We start from the raw sequence: 17,632 nt of genomic DNA, 5'->3' as shown, positions 1-17,632 counted from the left end.
GTCACCTTGCTAAAGACTTTGGTATCTTCCTTCCCCTTCCTACCTGATCTTTCCACCTCCTGGGAGGTTTGGGGTTCAAGGCTGCCTCCATCTCTATTACGGGGGTGAGATGCCATTTAGTAAACATTCCTAAGTCTGTGTCATGGTTCTGTTTACATCCGATGCCCATTTCACACTCAGGCCTGAGCAGTTTCTGAAACGGTTCGTTCTGGCACAGTCTAGCCTGCTTCAGACTTCCTTTGCAGCTAATGGAAAGACCAGGGCTGACACTGCTGCCCCTCACAGGTTATGTCTGTTAGCCGCATCTTCATTCTTATCTGGGAGAAAATTTATATGGTCTGTGCAGGAACACAGGTTGACTCAGGTAAACTAAGGTAAACTCAGGTACACCCAGCTACATTCAGGCATTCTCAGCTATACTCAGGTTCAGGAGTTTCTGGTTCAATGATACCTTTCCGTAGTTCTCAAATTGCGATTTTCAATTAAAAAAGATAATTTGAAACTATATCTGAAGTATAGAATGAAAATTTAAAAATGAGATGATCTTTAAGGATAAGCTTGCTGTTAAGTAAATAAGAAAAGAGATTAAAATGAATAATAAAAAATATTAAAAATGAGATGACTAAATGTATTAAGTAGCTATATTAAATATAGATTAACAAGTATATTTTGTAGTCTTTGGTATGAATCGAGTATAAACAAATGGATTTGGATTTCTGAACCCACGGTCCGGTTTTTTCTTTTAAGAAGAAAAGCTGTCATGGCCACGGAGGTGTCCCTTGGTCGGGCTTGCACCTGCACATCTCCCTTCGGTGACAAGTACAAGGCTGTAGCAGGGGAGTCTGATCACGTCTCTACTTCCCGGAGCTCATGGCACCTGTGGGACAGGACATTTACCTTCAAGGCCTGAGTTGCTCCCCATCAAGGCCTTCATAGGGCGGAGATACCTTTGGCGGAAGAAGAGAAAATGTTCCTTATGTGGTATTTTGCCTGTGACAAATAAATACTCACACATCAATTAATTGGTTAAGAAGTGAACTACACTAGATTTGTTAAAGTCTCCTAAAATTGAAATAGAGAAAAGAGCTTATTTCCAGATGTCCGAAGCAGGACTACCTAACCATATAGAAGTAGATACTAAATTACATAAAATAATCCTAATTTTAAATATCCCTCATATCTCACTGTATTAGTCCATTCTTGCATTGCTATAAAGAAATACCTGAGATGGGGTAATTTATAAATAATAGAGGTTTAATTGGTTCACAGTTCTGCAGGCTGTGCAGGAAACATGTTGTTGGCATCTGCTGGGTTTCTGGGGGGGTCTCAGGAAACTTACAATCATGGCAGAAGGTGAAGGAGGAGCAGGCACATCTTACATGGCCAGAGTAGGAGCAAGAGTGATCGAGGGAGGAGGTACTATGCACTTTTAAACAGCCAGATCTCACAAGAGCTCACTCACTATCAGCAGGACAGTATCAAGAAGAATGGTGCTAAACCATTCATGAGCAAGCTGGCTACATGATCCAGTCATCTCTCACCAGGCCCCACCTCCAACACTGGGTATTACAATTTGACGTGAGGTTTGGTAGGGACAGAAAATCCAAGCTATATGAACTGCTCATTCCTATGACACAATTCTACTAGCTATATATCTGCACAGTGGCGTTGAGATAATATGCATTCCTTGAGGCTGAGTGTACTCTTCTTTTCTTTTTTTTTTTTTTTGAACATGGTCAAGCTCTGTTGCCCAGGCTGGAGTGCAGTGGTGCAATCTCGACTCACTGCAACCTGTGCCTCCCGGGTTCAAGTGGTTCTTCTGCCTCACCCTCCTGAGTAGCTGGGAGTACAAACGTGCACCATCACTCCTGGCTAATATTTTTATTTACAGTACAAAAAGGGTTTCACCATATTGACCAGAAGACTGGTCTTGAGCTCCTGACCTCAGTGATCTGCCCACCTCAGCCTCCCAAAGTGTTGGGATTATAGGCATGAGCCATTGTGCCCAGCCCTGGTTGTACTTCTCATGTATACTTAGCATGCCTAGTAATTGTGGAACGCCAGTAAATATTTGTTATACAACTGATCAATGGAATTAATGAACTTTGCATACTTATAAATAAAAATATCTGATTCATCTACATAATTTACCCAAATGAAGGGCTGCAGCTGTCCTTCATGTTTAGCAATGTTATACATTCTCTTTTGTTTTCTCCTAGTCTAGTGATAGATGCAATTTTCTTGCTTTACTTACTTCCCACATAACCTCTGGGTGACCTTAAATGAGGCCTTACCTATCTGGCACTTTATCTTGTCAAAATTCCTTGCATGGTTGTCACTCCTATCTATCTTGATTCACGGTTGGATCAATCGACCGAGTAGGTATTTAATCCCTGAAATCAATCTCTCCGGATTCTCAATCATTTGTCTTTGCTGGGTTTGACTTCCTTCCAGTTCTACGTATGAGCCTTTGTAAGGTTATCTCAATCTCAGCAGCCCAGGGGAGAATTTCCTAGAGGTGGCTGAGAGGCACATGCGTCTTTGGCCCTGATGAGGACCTCTGTGTATTTATGTGTGTGGACACGTAGTCCCTTGGAGCCAAGCAAAGGAGATTTGTAAACGAATGTAGTTTCTGCTGCTGACTGCCTGTCTGCCCACAGTCTTTTCATTTACAAATAGTGCCCACTCTTTCAGTCTTGTTGAGGGCTAGCTATGGGAAGACATGCCAAGCTCATGAATTCCCATTTAGCTGCCACACATGTAACATGAAACCAGGTGCAGCCTATCAGTAAGAGGAAAGTACCTAAATGGCAGAAATGTCAAAGGGAAAGCAGGTCGGTAATGGCATCCTATCCCCAGTGTGATATGTAGACCATCAGCTCCAAAGTCCTGCAGGCTGCCTGAGTGCACAGTAAATGGGGTCAGGCTCTCCTTTGTGTTGAAATTTCTACCCAGCCAAAAGTTAGATCTTCTTGGAAGCAAATTTACTCTTTCAGCCGTTTAATGGAATCTACCTGCCCCTGCAACTGTCAGTGGTATCATCATCACTTCCAGAGGTAACAAAAGTGGGGATTGCTGCCGGCAGCCACTCGTGAGCAATTCTGCTCAGTTGTCTGTGTAATGTTTAAATTGAGGACTACTACCTTGGTGCCCGGCTGTATGCTTTCTATGCAATTTCTTGAAATTCCTCTCCCGATGCTCTGACATATACCATTAGAATTTTTCAGATGAAGAAATTGAGGCCATAAGAAGATACTCTCAAGATTATACAGCTATGAAGGAGGAGAAGGATTTCAAGCCTGTCCTGCCCAACAGCAGGGCCTGAGAATTAGGAAGGTGGCTGCAGAAGATGGGTTTACCCCAGTGCCAATCTGTGTGGCCTCACTGACAGTGATTGATCTGACCTCATCTCCCTAACTTCAGAAAAAGTTCTTCCATCTTACTTCAATCTATTTCAATGGGAAAATATTGGTATCCTCATGTCATTTTGTTTTTGCCTCCTTGTAAATACTTATTGAACATGTGAAAGTGTATATCCAAAGAGTTAGAAACGTGACTGTCATCTAAATATAGAATGAACAGGCATCAAAAATGTATTCAACTCATTGAGGGAACCAGTATGTTGGTAATGCTGGTTCCAAAAGCATTTTGAGGAACTGAATATTCAGAGGCATTTTAGGGGGAAAAATGCCAGAATAAGATTCCTGGATTAGACGCAAAACTGTTAACATCCTACAGGCAATACAATCTGAAATTGAGGTTATCATCTCTACCAAATAGAAATCTACAAACTAACATGTAACCTCACAGTAGTGTCTAGCTCTGAACCAAGTTAATGACAGAGTCAAACACAAGTACCTTTCCTTAGATTGATGGGTTCTCAAACTTTTCTGCATGTTAAAATCACTTGGAGAAATTTTTTTTTGATCGTGACACCCGAGATCCCACATGTATTAGTTTTTTATTGCTGCTGTTACAAACTACCACAAACATCGTGGCTTAATGCAATCCAGCTTTATTCTCTTACAGTTCTGGAGGTCAGAGTTGAAAATTGGTCCAAAGAGCTGCTTCCTTCTAGAGGCTCTAGAGGAGAATCCATTCCTTGCCTTTTTTACCTTCTAAAGGCTGCATGCATTTCTTGGCTTGTGGCCCCTTCCTCACCGTGTGAGGCAACAGCACAGGGTCTTCTCTGACCTCTGCCTCCATCTTTAAGCCTTATCTCTCTGACTCTGACCCTCCAGCCTTCTTTTGGTAATCACCATTGTGATGACCTTGGGCGTATTCAGATAATCCAGGATATTTTCCCCATCTACAGAGCCTTAACTTAATCATATCTGCAAAGTCTCTTACATGTAAGGGAACATATTCATAGGGTCTAAGGATTAGGTGGTGGGCATCTTTGGGAGGTTATTGTTTAGCCTATCACATCACCCCCCACCATTAAATCAGGATGTCTAGGGGTGGGAGCCAGGCAGCCATAGTTTTCGAACATCCCAGGTGTTTCCAATTATGAAGCAAAGTTTGAAAACTGCTTTCCTAAATAATGAAATAACCTTTAAATGATGCCTTAATATACCATTGAGAGGACAACTCTACGTTTTCAGGGGTTACACACCACCCCAAAATAGGCCGCTCTGACATATTGACTATTTTGAGTTTAGGGCACCTGAAAAACAACAGGTGTGAGAGGGTCACTCTGACTTTCTGTTTCTTACAAGTAGGAGATGAAATTCGCTTGTGAAAGATCCCTTCCCTATAGCAGAAGGAAAGCATCACTCTTATCATCAAGGATAGGAAGTTGAGGCCAAGGGAAATTTGTACAAACAAACCTTGTTAGACTAAACTTACCTTCCGAGCCACTTTTTCACTCAATTAACCACTCAGCCCAAGCTTCTTGGCCTTGTGACATTTTCACAATTCATGACTCTTTAATTCTGTATGTAAGTGTTCAATCTAACTGTGCCTTTGGGTCTGCATTTCCTTATGTAGTCTCTCCTGCCATGTAAAACTTGTATTAAGTAAATTTGTTCTTCTGCTGTTGATCTGTCTTATGTCTGTCTTAAGTCAATTTAATTCTTAGCCCCAGAAAAAAAAAAATAGGGTACAGGTAAAATTTTGCTTCCTCTGTAATTGTAAATTTTGGATAATTTTTCTTAACAAACTGAAGAAATTACTGAATATTTATCAAACGACCAGAGCTATGTTCCATTTAACATCTGCAATCACTTCTTTGTTGTATCTGATCCTGACCTGGTTGCTCTTTTCCCTAACTGTGTAAACTTGGTGAGTCAATGCTGCCTTTTGCCCTTATGTAAAATGGAGCAAATGGAACTCATTTCTGTCAGAATGGTGGTGACAGTGGAGGAAGGTGTAAACCAAGTGGTTGAAATGCCATCTGTCACTGTGATGCTGCACATGTCCGTGGTCAGCTGCTGGAGGATGCATCAGCCTCAGGTTTGCATAGCCAAGAATCATGATCTGCGGACCGCAAAAGACTGAGGCTTGTCAATGCTGCTCAAGTAACGAAAATGAAAATAACATGCACATGCACATACCCACCCATCTATCCTTCAGTGATGCCTGACGGCTGAAAGCAAGCAGAGGAGAGCTGTGAAAACAGTTAGTGGCGCCATACCTGGGAATCTTGGTGAATCTCCAAAAAACATAAAATCTCTTGCAGTAAACCTATCATCAGTCTGAGTTTACTGCATTTCACCCAGCGCTGATCCTACAGCCTCAGGGTAAACTTTTCAGAAGAGACTGGTACTGATTTTCAACCCGAACACCTGAATTTATTAGAGTCATTCTTGTCTTTTAATTGAAACAACAGGACATTCCCCAGGTTTGCAGTGATCTGCAGGATATTCTTGAAAACTCTGAAAGGCCTGAAGAATGTGTCTCAGGCTGAAGGGAGGGAAAAGTTTCACTCTTAAGGTCCCATTTAGAGACCACATTCCCATCTCTGGACTCCTCTGTTCTGTTCATGTGGACAAATATTGCTCTTTTTTAGATATAAGATTCAACTTAGTTGACAAGCTTCATCAGTTCCTTGTTACAAGACTAATAACCACAACTTTAATGAGCTATGAATCAGGTTTTCTAAAGCCATTATTTTCAAATCTCCTTCAACCAGCAGAGCCAATTTTTCAAATAAAATCATACAAAAGCCAATATATACATGACAAAGGAAAAACTGTGACCTTCGCAGTTGGCACTATTATGCTTCTTAAAATAGGACATACAGTTGATCCTAATTATTTACTAATTTCAGATTTCTGACTTCACTTACCTGCTAAAATTAATTTGTAACCTCCAAATCAGTACTTGTGGTGCTTTTGTAACCACTAGCATACATCCACAGAGCAGTGAAAAAATTGTCACCTGAGGCTCCTGTTCCCAGCTGAGGCTGAACAAGGTGGCTCTCTGCCTTCTTGTTTTAGCTCTTATACAGTAAACAAGAGTCCTTTTGGAAATCTATTTAGTGGCACTTGTTTTACATTTTTATGGTTTTTGTTAGTGATTTTGCGTTTAAAATGGCCTCAAATAGTGCTGAAGAGCGGTCTAGTGGTCCTAAGTACAAGAAGGCTGTGATGTGCCTTACGGAGAAGTACGTGTGTTCAAGAAGCTTCATTAGGGCATGAGTTATAGCACTAGTGGTCGGGAGTTCAATGTTAATGAGTAAACAGTATATATTAAATATGGTGTCTTGGCTGGGCGTGGTGGCTCACCCCTGTAATCTTAGCACTTTGGGAGGCTGAGGCAGGTGGGTCACGAGGTCAGGAGTTCAAAACCAGCCTGGCCAACATGGTGAAACCCCGTCTCTACTAAAAATACAAAAAAATTAGTCAGGCGTGGTGGTGGGCACCTGTAATCCCACCTACTTGGGAGGCTGAGGCAGGAGAATCACTTGAACCCAGGAGGTGAAGGTTGCAGTGAGTTGAGATTGTGCTACTGCACTCCACTCTGGGTGACAGAGTGAGACTCCATCTCAAAATAAATACGTAAAAAACACACTGTCTTTAAAAAGAAAAACACATAAAACAAGGTTATCCATTAATCAGTTAATAAAAATGTCATGACCAGAGATTTGCAGGAACCTAATCCTCTGTTTCCCCGAGACGCAATGGTTCAGCACTCTCTGATTCAGTGTTTGCTATGATTTTATAAAATAGAACTACTATGAATAATAAGAATCGACTGTGTCTTTGTTTGGAAAAATATCTGGATGGCAGCTTAAGTTAGATGGTGAAACTCCAGGGGCGTAGGCAGAAATGTTTGTTCCTACAGGGATGAAGTAGAGAAAGAAAAGAAGAAAAGACAGGAAGAGAAAGGGAGGAGAGAGGAGCTACAGGTAGGAAGGGACATATTAGGTTGGTGTGAAAGTAAGTGCGGTTTTTACCATCACTTTTAATATTTGCCCCCATCTCACTGAAGGACCAAAAGAGCAGCCCCCAGCAACAGACACTGAAAAGGTGCTGGGGAACAGGAATGTCTAATCCAGACTTTTAGGATTTCTTGCCATGTTGGGTGTACTATGAAACCGTGATTTCCAGCTTTCTTAAAGTTTACTATACTTACATGTGCGTCTCATGCTAGCTGTTTAGTTTCTTTTTTTCTCACGGAAATCAGGAAAGTTTCCCATCTTCAGCAAAGCTATGTGCACTTTTAAGGAGGCAGCATCTCAGCAGAGAGAACCATGACAATGTAAGCCCTCCAGGGATCTGAAAGCATCTTGGAGAAGACTTTGCTTTGCTGAAGGCCTGGGCTTGAAAACCCCTTATCCTAGCAATTTTACCTGGCTTTCAAAGGGCTGGGTGGGCCCAGGAATCTGTTCTGTTTGCAGCAGGGCAAAACAGATAGAGAGCCTTGTGAAATGCCCTTGCCATGGTTCCCACCTTGACTTTGCAGAACAGAGTGCCAACCATGGACCGGGCATATAACAGCTGTGTCCCATAACAGAGTAGCAAGCACAGTTCCTCCTTGGATCTGTGCATAGCACATTCCCTGACAACACCCCTGAGAAAGAGTCACCAGGATTCAGCTTCTCCAGTCTCTTCTCACTTGGCCTTTCAGGAGGGTTGCAGGGTTGTGCCCAGAGCACAGTCGCAGAACCCACGACTGGACTGGGGCCTGAAAAACGCAATGTTCCCTGTAGCCAATTGCAGCGCTGCTTAGTAAGAAACCCTTTGCTTGTCTTTCTCCTTCCCTGTGGGATTCTGCTAGGAATCAGGCTTCCCCGACCTGACTTCTTTCTTGGAGGATGGAGTTTTAAATTTTATTTATTTATTTATTTATTTGAGGTAAGGTCTCACTTTGTTGCCGGGGATGCAGTGCAGTGGTGCAATCATAGCTCACTGCAGCCTCAGACTCCTGGGCTCAAGAGATCCTTCCACCTCAGCGTCCAGGCAGGTGCCACCATGCACGGTTAATTTTTTAAAAGTTTTTTTGTAGAGATGAGGTCTTGCTATGTTGCCCAGGCTAGTCTTGAACTCCCGATCTCAAGTGATCCTCCCACCTTGGCCTTCCAAAGCACTGGGATTACAGGCATGAGTCACCGGGCCCAACCACGATGGAGTTTTTCATGAAATGAAACCGTCCTCTGAACGTTCCAGCAAAGCTCCAGCAGATCGTGATTTCCCCTGACTACACACATGTGCCAGAAATGCTTTCATATCTAAGCCATTGAGCCAAGTTCATCAACTCGCCCCAGTGAACAGAGGATTCCTTGGGACCCTCCATAGCAGGAACTGGAGGAGACAAGCAAAAGAGGCTGCCACTACTGCTCCTGCCGCACTTGTACATTTAAGGGCCAAGGAATTCCAGAGCGCAACTTCATCTTCCTGGCTTGCCTGGTCTCTGCTTCTGCTCTGGGCTCCGGGATCCAAGAACCCAGGACTTCCTCATTCTGTGTCCTGACCCCAGCACGTGCACCAGCCATAATTATATCCCCACATCACAGACATGTTTACATCCCCTTTATCTCATTTTTTTCTTTACCAATTGTGTCAGGCTGACCCCTGTTTTCTCCTTTTGGGCTTATGGAGCAACAAATCAGCAGTTGTAAATATCTGTGACAAGGATAATTTATTTGCTACACATAAATGTGTTGGATGTAGGTGGTAACAGGAAAGAAACAAAAAAATTATTACTCAAAATGTAGTGATAAGATGCCAGGGTCTGAGTAAGTCTTCTGATGCACTTTTAGGATGGTAGAATATTTGTACCTTTTGAGAATATGAACTGAACAGCCGGTATAGTCACACATTTGGTCAGTTCTGTAAAATAGATATTAGACGACTTCTTTGACTGGGTAGGCTGTTTAATTCAGGCAGAATATTCTGACCAGTAGCCCTGGATAAACACAGACTGGCAATGGCCCAGGTTGTTTTCTTTTTCTTTTTTTCTTTTTTTTTTTTTTTGAGACGGAGTCTCACTCTGTCACCCAGGCTGCAGTGCAGTGGTGTGATCTCGGCTCACTGCAATCTCTGCCTCCTGTGTTCAAGCGATTCTAGTGCCTCAGCCTCCCAAGTGGCTGGGACTACAGGCATGTGCCACTACGTCTGGCTATTTTGTTGTTGTCGTTGTTAGTAGAGATGGGGTTTCACCATGTTGATCAGGCTGTTCTTGAACCCTTGACCTCAAATGATCTGCCTGCCTCCGCCTCCCGAAGTGCTGGGATTACAGGCATGAGCCTTCACACCCAGCCCCAGGTTTTTAATACCTATATGTAGTCTAGTTAAAAGGTTTTACAACAAAATGTGAATATCTCTCCTGTCTTTTTCTTCCTTTCCCAGGTGTGTGAGTGTGTGAGATGGGGCTGAGGGCTTGGAAGGTGAGCTCTAGGACAGGACCCACAGGCCTGGCGGCCTGGAGACAGGTGCACTCAGCTTCTCATCAGTAGGGAAATAGAGTTGGTTGAAGTCAGGCTTTGGGGAGCCAGGGCCAGGGACTCTCAGCTCACCTTCTGCTGCGAAGGTGAGTCAGCTTTCATGGCCCTCAGTTCGTATCTGGTTGGGCAGGTACCAAACAAAGCAGATGACATCACCCATGCATGGAATTCCACACTGTTCTCTGCTAAACACACTGTTTTCGATAGAACCTCTCATCTACAGAGACTCCTTATGCACGTACAGTTGCCAAGTGCTGTGTGGCCCAGAGTTACCTGTCGGCTCCTGGATCAGGCTCCTGGGTTGCCTGTCTGTGTAGACAGGGCCAGGCTCGTGGAACGAAGGGCAGTGGTCTTTGGTAGCTTGGTCTGAGCAAAGTCACATCTTCTGGCATTTGGTCAGGACAGCAGAGCTCCTTCTTAACAGAGAAGAGTAAATCCTCCTCCCTGGCTCCGTGGCCCTTCAGAGGTGGAAACATTGGTTCACTAACCCACCTTTCCACTTCTGATCATTTCTTTTTTATCACTTTTACCGGAACAAATGCAATTTCTAGCCTTCTCACTGCCCAGTTCCAGCAAAGCCCACGCAGCACTGTCAGATTCTTCTTCCTTAAATACAGCTTTGATCGTCATTCCTCCCCTGCTCAAAAAGCTGCAAATAGTTCCCACTACCTACAGAGGAAGGAAGACCGCACTTACTCAACCTGTCCCCGAGTCCACACAATAGGGCCTCAAGCTGCTTTTTCACCCTCTTCCCCTCCGTCCCTCCTAAATAAACCTTCCTCTTCCCTCAATTCTCTTTCCAGGTTGCTCAGAGTGTGTCTAGAACACCTTTTCCCCGGTGTCTCTGTTTAGGAATGATTCCTCCAATACCCCCACACCCCTCTCCCCGTGAAATCCTCCCCATTCTTCAAGTGTCAGCTCTTTCTCCAACTAATTCTTAATTCATTCAGCCCACAGGGATGTCTTTCACTGCTCTGAATTTACTGTCTGTTTCAGGCATTCATTTAGTGCTCCTGGTTCTCTCCAAACTTTTTTAAAAAAATACTTTCCTTTTAAGTTCAGGGGTACATGTGCAGGTTTGTTACAGAGGTAAACTCATGTCATGAGGGTTTGTTATACAGATTATTTTATCACCCAGGTACTAAGCCTAGTACCCAATAGTTATTTGTCCTGATCCTCTCCCTCCTCCCACCCTCCACTCTCCAATAGGCCCCAGTGTGTGTTGTTCCCCTCCCTGTGTCCATGTGTTCTCATTATTTAGCTCCCACTTATAAGTGAGAACATGTGATATTTGTTTTTCTGTTCCTGCATTAGTTTGCTAAAGATAATGGCCTCCAGCTCCATCCATGTCCCTGCAAAGGACATGAGCTTATTCTTTTTTATGGCTGCAGTTTCTCTCTAAATTTATTACAACAATAAGAAATTGGTGAGTGAGCATTGGCAACTGGTGGCCCATGGCAAGGAATATTCATGGGCTGGCCCCCTTCTCCCTTTCATAGGTCAGGCCTGGTCAGGAGTGAAGAGCAGAGGGGGAATAGGAAAGTTCTTACGTGAAGAAGCATCTGGCATTTACCCTAAGAGAAAGGATGTTTCCTAAACGGCAAGGCTGTTTTGTTTAGCAAAATAGAATTCTTCACTGTTTGGGGCCAAATACACTTTGTTTTCTAAAGCAGAGTCTAAATTACAGCTGTTCTACATAAAGCTGACGCCATTGCCTTCATCTCAGCCCCGCTGGGAGCGTGCTTCTGCCCTGTGTTCTGAGCAGCAGTAATGGATTTACGGAGATATTCACATACTCCTCCCCAGCCCCTCCCAACCCCTGGCAGGGTCCCATTTTTACAGCATGGCTGGACAACATCTCCACACTCTACCATGCATCCTGAGCCAAATGGACAGCTCTTTCCTGACTCAAGTGTATGACCTTGGCTTCATCAATACATTAGTCTCAATAAATGAGCCAGACAGCCTCAGACCACTGTGGCATTGATACAGGATAAAACTTTTATACCTTGTGAAGGGAGAGTCTGGTCTTCCTACAACCAAGGCATGAGAAAGCCTCTTGAACTGAATTCCAAGAAGCTGCCAGCTATGATAAAAGGGTCCCTCGACTGCAAGTTTAAATGCCTGCTTTCTGATCCTTTATTACTCCTGATATGATCGGGAAAAGAACTTTGTTCTCGGCAGAGGTTTTCTTATCAGCAAATGAAGGTTTTTTGTTTATTTGTTTCCTGACGATTTCTTGTTTCTTTTCACACTCTAAAATGCTAGGTGTCTGAAGAATCTTTGCACCGAAGACTGAAGTACATGACCAATTTTTTTTTTTTTTTTTTTTTTTGAGACAGAGTCTGGCTCTGTCACCTAGGCTGGAGTGCAGTGGCAGGATCTCATCTCGCTGCAACCTCCGCCTCCCGGGTTCAGGCGATTCTTGTGCCTCAGCCTCCTGAGTAGCTGGGATTACAGGGCACCTGCCACCATGCCTGGCTAATTTTTGTATATTTTGTAGAGATGGGGTTTTGCCGTGTTGGCCAGGCTGGTCTTGAACACCTGGACTCAAATGATCAGCCCACCTCGGCCTCCAAAAGTGCTGGGATTATAGGCATGAGCCGTCACGCCGGGCCTAAAGTACATGACCTCTTAAGAGCTCTCCCAACATTGTGACCTCTGAGATTTGCTGTAGTCCTCACTGCAGAAAGAATACGCATTTGTGAAAATCTGTCTCATTGCTTTGGAACTGTGCTCACAGTTCTTCTGTGCTTGTTTGCATGTCTGTTTGTTTAATCTGAAATGGCATGTCAGTGTTTTTCAAAATTCCTCACTCTTTTGGCATCAGTTAAGATTCTTGATTGCAAGCTACAGAAATCAAGTCTGGTTAACTTAATATGAAAAGGACTCTCATGGCAGTTTCTTTGAGATCTCACACTATCAGCTCTGTGAAGTGAGAACCTGGAATAACACACAAGGCATGTTATAAAGGAGCTCACTCCATTTGCGACATTTGTCCATCGCCAGCTGGTAGGTTTCCACTCCCCTTCCCTGCTTGCCCCACACCTGGGCAACCAAGTTAAGAAGACCGTGGATGTTCTGTGCCCCTGTCAATGTCCAGGAACCTCAGATAGTACCCCGTCTAGCCCATGTGCCAGCCCCAGCCCAACTTCATCCCCTAGCCATAATAAAAGCCCAAAGCCGCCCCTAAACCACCTTAGTTGCCTTCCAACATAAGCTGTTCCCTCCTAGAACTCACCAGCTTGTGAGTCCTAAATATAATTTATTCAACTTCGTTGGTGAGAGTGTTGTGTTATCTCTCATGACACATAGAAAACCCCTGGGTTAAGCCACAGAATTCCAGCTGAACGTGGGCTGCTGCCCCTGCCTGACTCTTGATGCTGCCACAACTTCTGGGAATAATTTGCAAACTGACCCTGGGTCTTTGTGACATACCCCGAAGATTCCAAGTTCTGGATGGGAGAATTGCCATGCTTGAGCCTAGGCACGTGCCATCATCCCTGGTTGCCAGGGCAGGAGGACGATCTCCTCTTCTGCTTCCCTAGTTATGAGCACAGCAGCTTTAGAAGTATCTGGGGGAAAAACAGTGAGACAAAATAACCTTCAAACACAATACTCAAAGATGGAAATTCTGTCATTGAAAGACTTACTAATTCTTTGTGAATAAAAAATATGCACCTCTTGTAGTCTTCAGATACTTAGAAAGCTTTTTAAAAAATTGAGATAAAATTCACATAACATAAAATCTACCATTTTAACCATTTTAAAGTGTACAAATCAGTTATCTTTATTCACAATGGGGTGCAGCCACTACTAATATCCAATTCCAGGACATTTTCATCACTTCAAAAAGGTATATTTTACCCCTAAGCAGTCAGTCCCCATTCCTCCTCCTCCCTTCCCCTGGCAATCACTAATCTGCTTTCTCTCATTGTGGATTTTCCTGTTCTGGACATTTCATATACATGGACTCAGATACTTTGAGGTCTTTTCTGACTGGTTTCTTTCACTTAGCACAATATATTCAAGGTTCATTCATATTGTAGTGTGTATATCAGCACTTCATTTTTATTGCTAAAAATATTCCATTTTACGTTTACACCACATTTTGTTTATCTTTTCTGATTTTATTTTTATTTTCTTTTTTATTTTTTGAGACAGGGTCTCACTCTGTCATCCAGGCTGGAGTGCAGTGGCACAATCTTGGTTCATTGCAACTTCTGCCTCCTGGGTTCAAGTCATTCTCCTGCCTCAGCCTCCCGAGTAGCTGGGACTACAGGCACACACTACCATGCCTGGCCAATTTTTGTACAGAAGGCTAATTTAATACAGAAGGAGTTTCGCAATGTTGGCCTGGCTGGTCTCAAACTCGTGATCTCAAGTAATCTGCCTGCCTTGGCCTCCCAAAGTGCTGGGATTACAGGCGTGAGCCACTGCGCCCAGGGCCTTATTTATCTTTTGAACATTTGGGTTGTGTCAAATTTTTTTTTTTTTTTTTGAAACAGAGTCTCGCTCTGTCCCCCAGGTTGGAGTGCAGTGGCATGAACTCGGCTCACTGCAAGCTCTACCTCCCAGGTTCACGCCATTCTCCTGCCTCAGCCTCCCGAGTAGCTGGGACTACAGGCACCCGCCACCACGCCCAGCTAATTTTTTTGTATTTTTAGTAGAGACAGGGTTTCACCGTGTTAGCCAGGATGGTTTCAATCTCCTGACCTCATGATGCGCCCACCTCGGCTTCCCAAAGTGCTGGGATTACAGGTGTGAGCCACCTCGCCCGGCTGGTTGTTTCAACTTTTTGGCTGTTTTGCATAATGCTCTTATAAACATTTATGTACAAGTTTCTGTGTGAATATCTGTTATCAATTCTCTTGTGTATATTCCTAGGTGGAGTGGAATTGCTTGGTCTTAACTGTAACTTCATGTTTAACTTTTTGAGGAACTACCGGAACTACTGTTTGACATTTCTGCCAACAATGTATGAGGGAGTCACTTTCTCCACATCCTCACTAACACTTGTTATTCTCATTATTATTATTTTTATAGCTCTCTTAGTGGATATGAAGTGGTATCTCATTATGGTTTTGATGTGTACTTCCCTAATGACTAGTGGTGCTGAGCATTTATTTCATGTATTTATTGACCATTTGTGTATCTTCCTTGGAGAAATTACTATTCAAATTCTTTGCCCATTTTAAAATTTTATTATCTGTCTTTTTGTTGTTGAGTTGTAATAGTTCTTTATGCAGTCTGAGTATCCCTTATCTGAAATGCTTGGCACCAGGAGTGTTTCAGATTTCAAATTTTTATCAGATTTTTGGAATAATTGCATATACATAATGAGATGTCTTGGGGATGGGACACAAGTCTAAACACAAAATTTATTTATGTTTCATATACACCTTATATACATAGCCTGAAGGTAATTTATACAATATTTTAAAATAATTTTGTGCATGAAACAAAGTTTGTCTACACTGACCCATTCGAATGCAAAGGTGTCACTATCTCATATCAGTACTCAAAGCTTTGAATTTTGGAGAATTTCGGATTTTGAAATTTTAGATTAGTAATGTTCCAAATGAATCTTCTGGATACAAGTGTCTTAGCAGATATATGCTTTGCAAGTATTTTCTTCCATTTTCTGGGTTATCTTTTTATATTCTTTTTTTTTTTTTTTTTTTTGAGACAAAGTCTCACTCTGTCACCCAGGCTGGAGTGCAGTGATGCAATCTTGGCTCACTGCAACCTCTGCCTCCTGGGTTCAAGCAATTCTCCTGCCTCAGCCTCCTGAGTAGCTGGGACTACAGGCACGTGCCACCACGCCCAGCTAATTTTTATATTTTTAGTAGAGACAGGGTTTCACCATGTTGGCCAGGCTGGTTTCAAACTCCTGACCTCAGGTGATCTGCCCACCTCAGGTGTCCTTTGAAGCAGAGTTTTTAATTGTGATAAAAGGTCTCATTTATCTATTGTTTCTTTTGCATTTGTGGTTTTTGGTGTCACATCTAAGAAATCATTGCCTAATCCAAGGCCATGAAGACTTACCCCTATGTTTTCTTCTAGGAGAGTTATAGTCTTTGCTCCTCCATTTATGTGTTTGATTCATTTTGAGTTCATTTTTGTAGATGGTGTGAGTTAGGGATCCAACTTGATTCTATTGCTTGTGGTTATCTAATTGTCTCAGCACCATTTGTTGAAATGACTATCCTTTCCCCATTGAATGGTCTTGGTGGCACTCTTGTCAAAAATCAATTGAACACAGATGTATGATTTTATTTCTGGGCTCTCAGTTCCATTCCATTGATCTGTATGTCTATCCTTATGTCAATACCACACTGTTTTGATTATTATAGCTTCTTGATTGTTTTCATATTTGGGGGAGAAACTAAAAAAGGAACTTTTTACACTAGGGAGATTGAACTGCAAGAATTGTAAGAATACAGATGCTAAGAATACACACACAATGCTACCTATCTGATTGAGGGTAAAAATAAGGAGGTGAAAACCCTGTTTGCGTCTGAAGAAACACATAATCTGCTCTATTTAGAATAATTTTATGTTGCTGAAGAGAATACTTTGTGTTAAAATACTTTATTACAAAGAAATTTCCATTAAAAATAAAATCTTGTACTTTTTTTGAAAATTTCGTTCAAAATCTCATGACTCAAGCACAATTATTCTAATTTCTCCATGGCTTCCTTCTAGTCTTTAGTTACATTTTACATATTTTTATGCATTTTAATCATATTATATGTAGACTTTTCCTTCTTTTTAAACTTAGCATTGCTATAAACAATTTTATGCTCATATGGTTTTCATATATTAATAGGTACTTAAAATCATATTAATTTACATATCACAAGTTACTTAGCCAATTTATTATTTTATATTGTTTTTCTCACAAACTTTTTTTGCTTTTAAAAATAATAAAAGCCTTGTGCTTATGGTTTGTTTTTCTATTTTTGAAGTACTTCCTTAGGATAAATTACTATCATTATAATTAGTCAAATGGGAAGAATATTTTCACTTATTGTAGATTCTTCTCTAAAACTATGCTATCAATTTAAACTGTTGACAGCAATGTCTGATGGGTCAGTTCCTGGGTAGTCTTGCTGATATTTGGATTTAGTAGGTTTTCTTTCTGTTAACCCATCTGATAATATAAAGTGATTATTTTAATTTTTATCTTATAATTTCTAGCCAGCTTAAATACTTTTTATGCTTATCATCTTTATTTTCTTTTACATGCTTTATTGAGAATAGAGTATTTTAAAATGTTTTCTAACTATTAAAGTAATATTTGTTGAATATAGAAAAGCATGAAAAAAAAAGCCATCTATAATCCCACCATTGAGAAAGAACTAAGCTGAGTATCTTCAGAAATTGGAAGAATGTTGTATTCATAATTTGATTTTTTTTCCAATAACATCATTTGCCCATAGCTGACATATGGTATATAAATTTTACAGTATATTTTATTTACTTCTAAAATGAGTATGACAAAGTGAAAGTAGAGTGCTCACATCTGAGTTTCCAGAAAGTTCTGTGCTGGAGTTCCTGGTATGACCGACAGTGTCTGGGTCGAATTGTAAAGATCTCTGCCTTGGGACAGCTGACTCTCAAGGAAGTGGCAAAGCACAGCCTGCTAAGAACCTTGCTAATAACACACTGACGTGCTTCTCATATCTGTATTCCAAGGCCCTTCAGGAAAGGCTAGAGAGCACTACCTGTAGTTTGGCA

General features: G+C 42.0%; 1 long non-coding RNA gene across 1 annotated transcript, besides 1 other annotated feature; it reads right to left on the bottom strand.

Annotated features, from left to right (window-relative positions):
- Positions 1-623: 623 nt before the first annotated feature.
- On the bottom strand, positions 624-13,304 carry LOC105379224 (uncharacterized). Its single transcript, NR_188124.1, has 3 exons — positions 13,131-13,304; positions 4,849-5,478; positions 624-947 (listed from the first exon to the last, which is right to left on the bottom strand). It is a non-coding gene; the product is annotated as an uncharacterized LOC105379224 (long non-coding RNA).
- Positions 5,308-5,407: an enhancer, noted in NCBI's record as "active region_26969". NCBI's record gives its function as "activates an Ori minimal core promoter by ATAC-STARR-seq in GM12878 lymphoblastoid cells {active_cell/tissue: GM12878}" and the evidence as "EXISTENCE:reporter gene assay evidence [ECO:0000049][PMID:35858748]".
- Positions 13,305-17,632: the final 4,328 nt, after the last annotated feature.

Source organism: Homo sapiens, chromosome 8 (assembly GCF_000001405.40).
Source record: "Homo sapiens chromosome 8, GRCh38.p14 Primary Assembly".
NCBI classification, from domain to species: Eukaryota; Metazoa; Chordata; class Mammalia; order Primates; family Hominidae; genus Homo; species Homo sapiens.
This window is presented reverse-complemented; position numbering and strand designations above follow the sequence as displayed.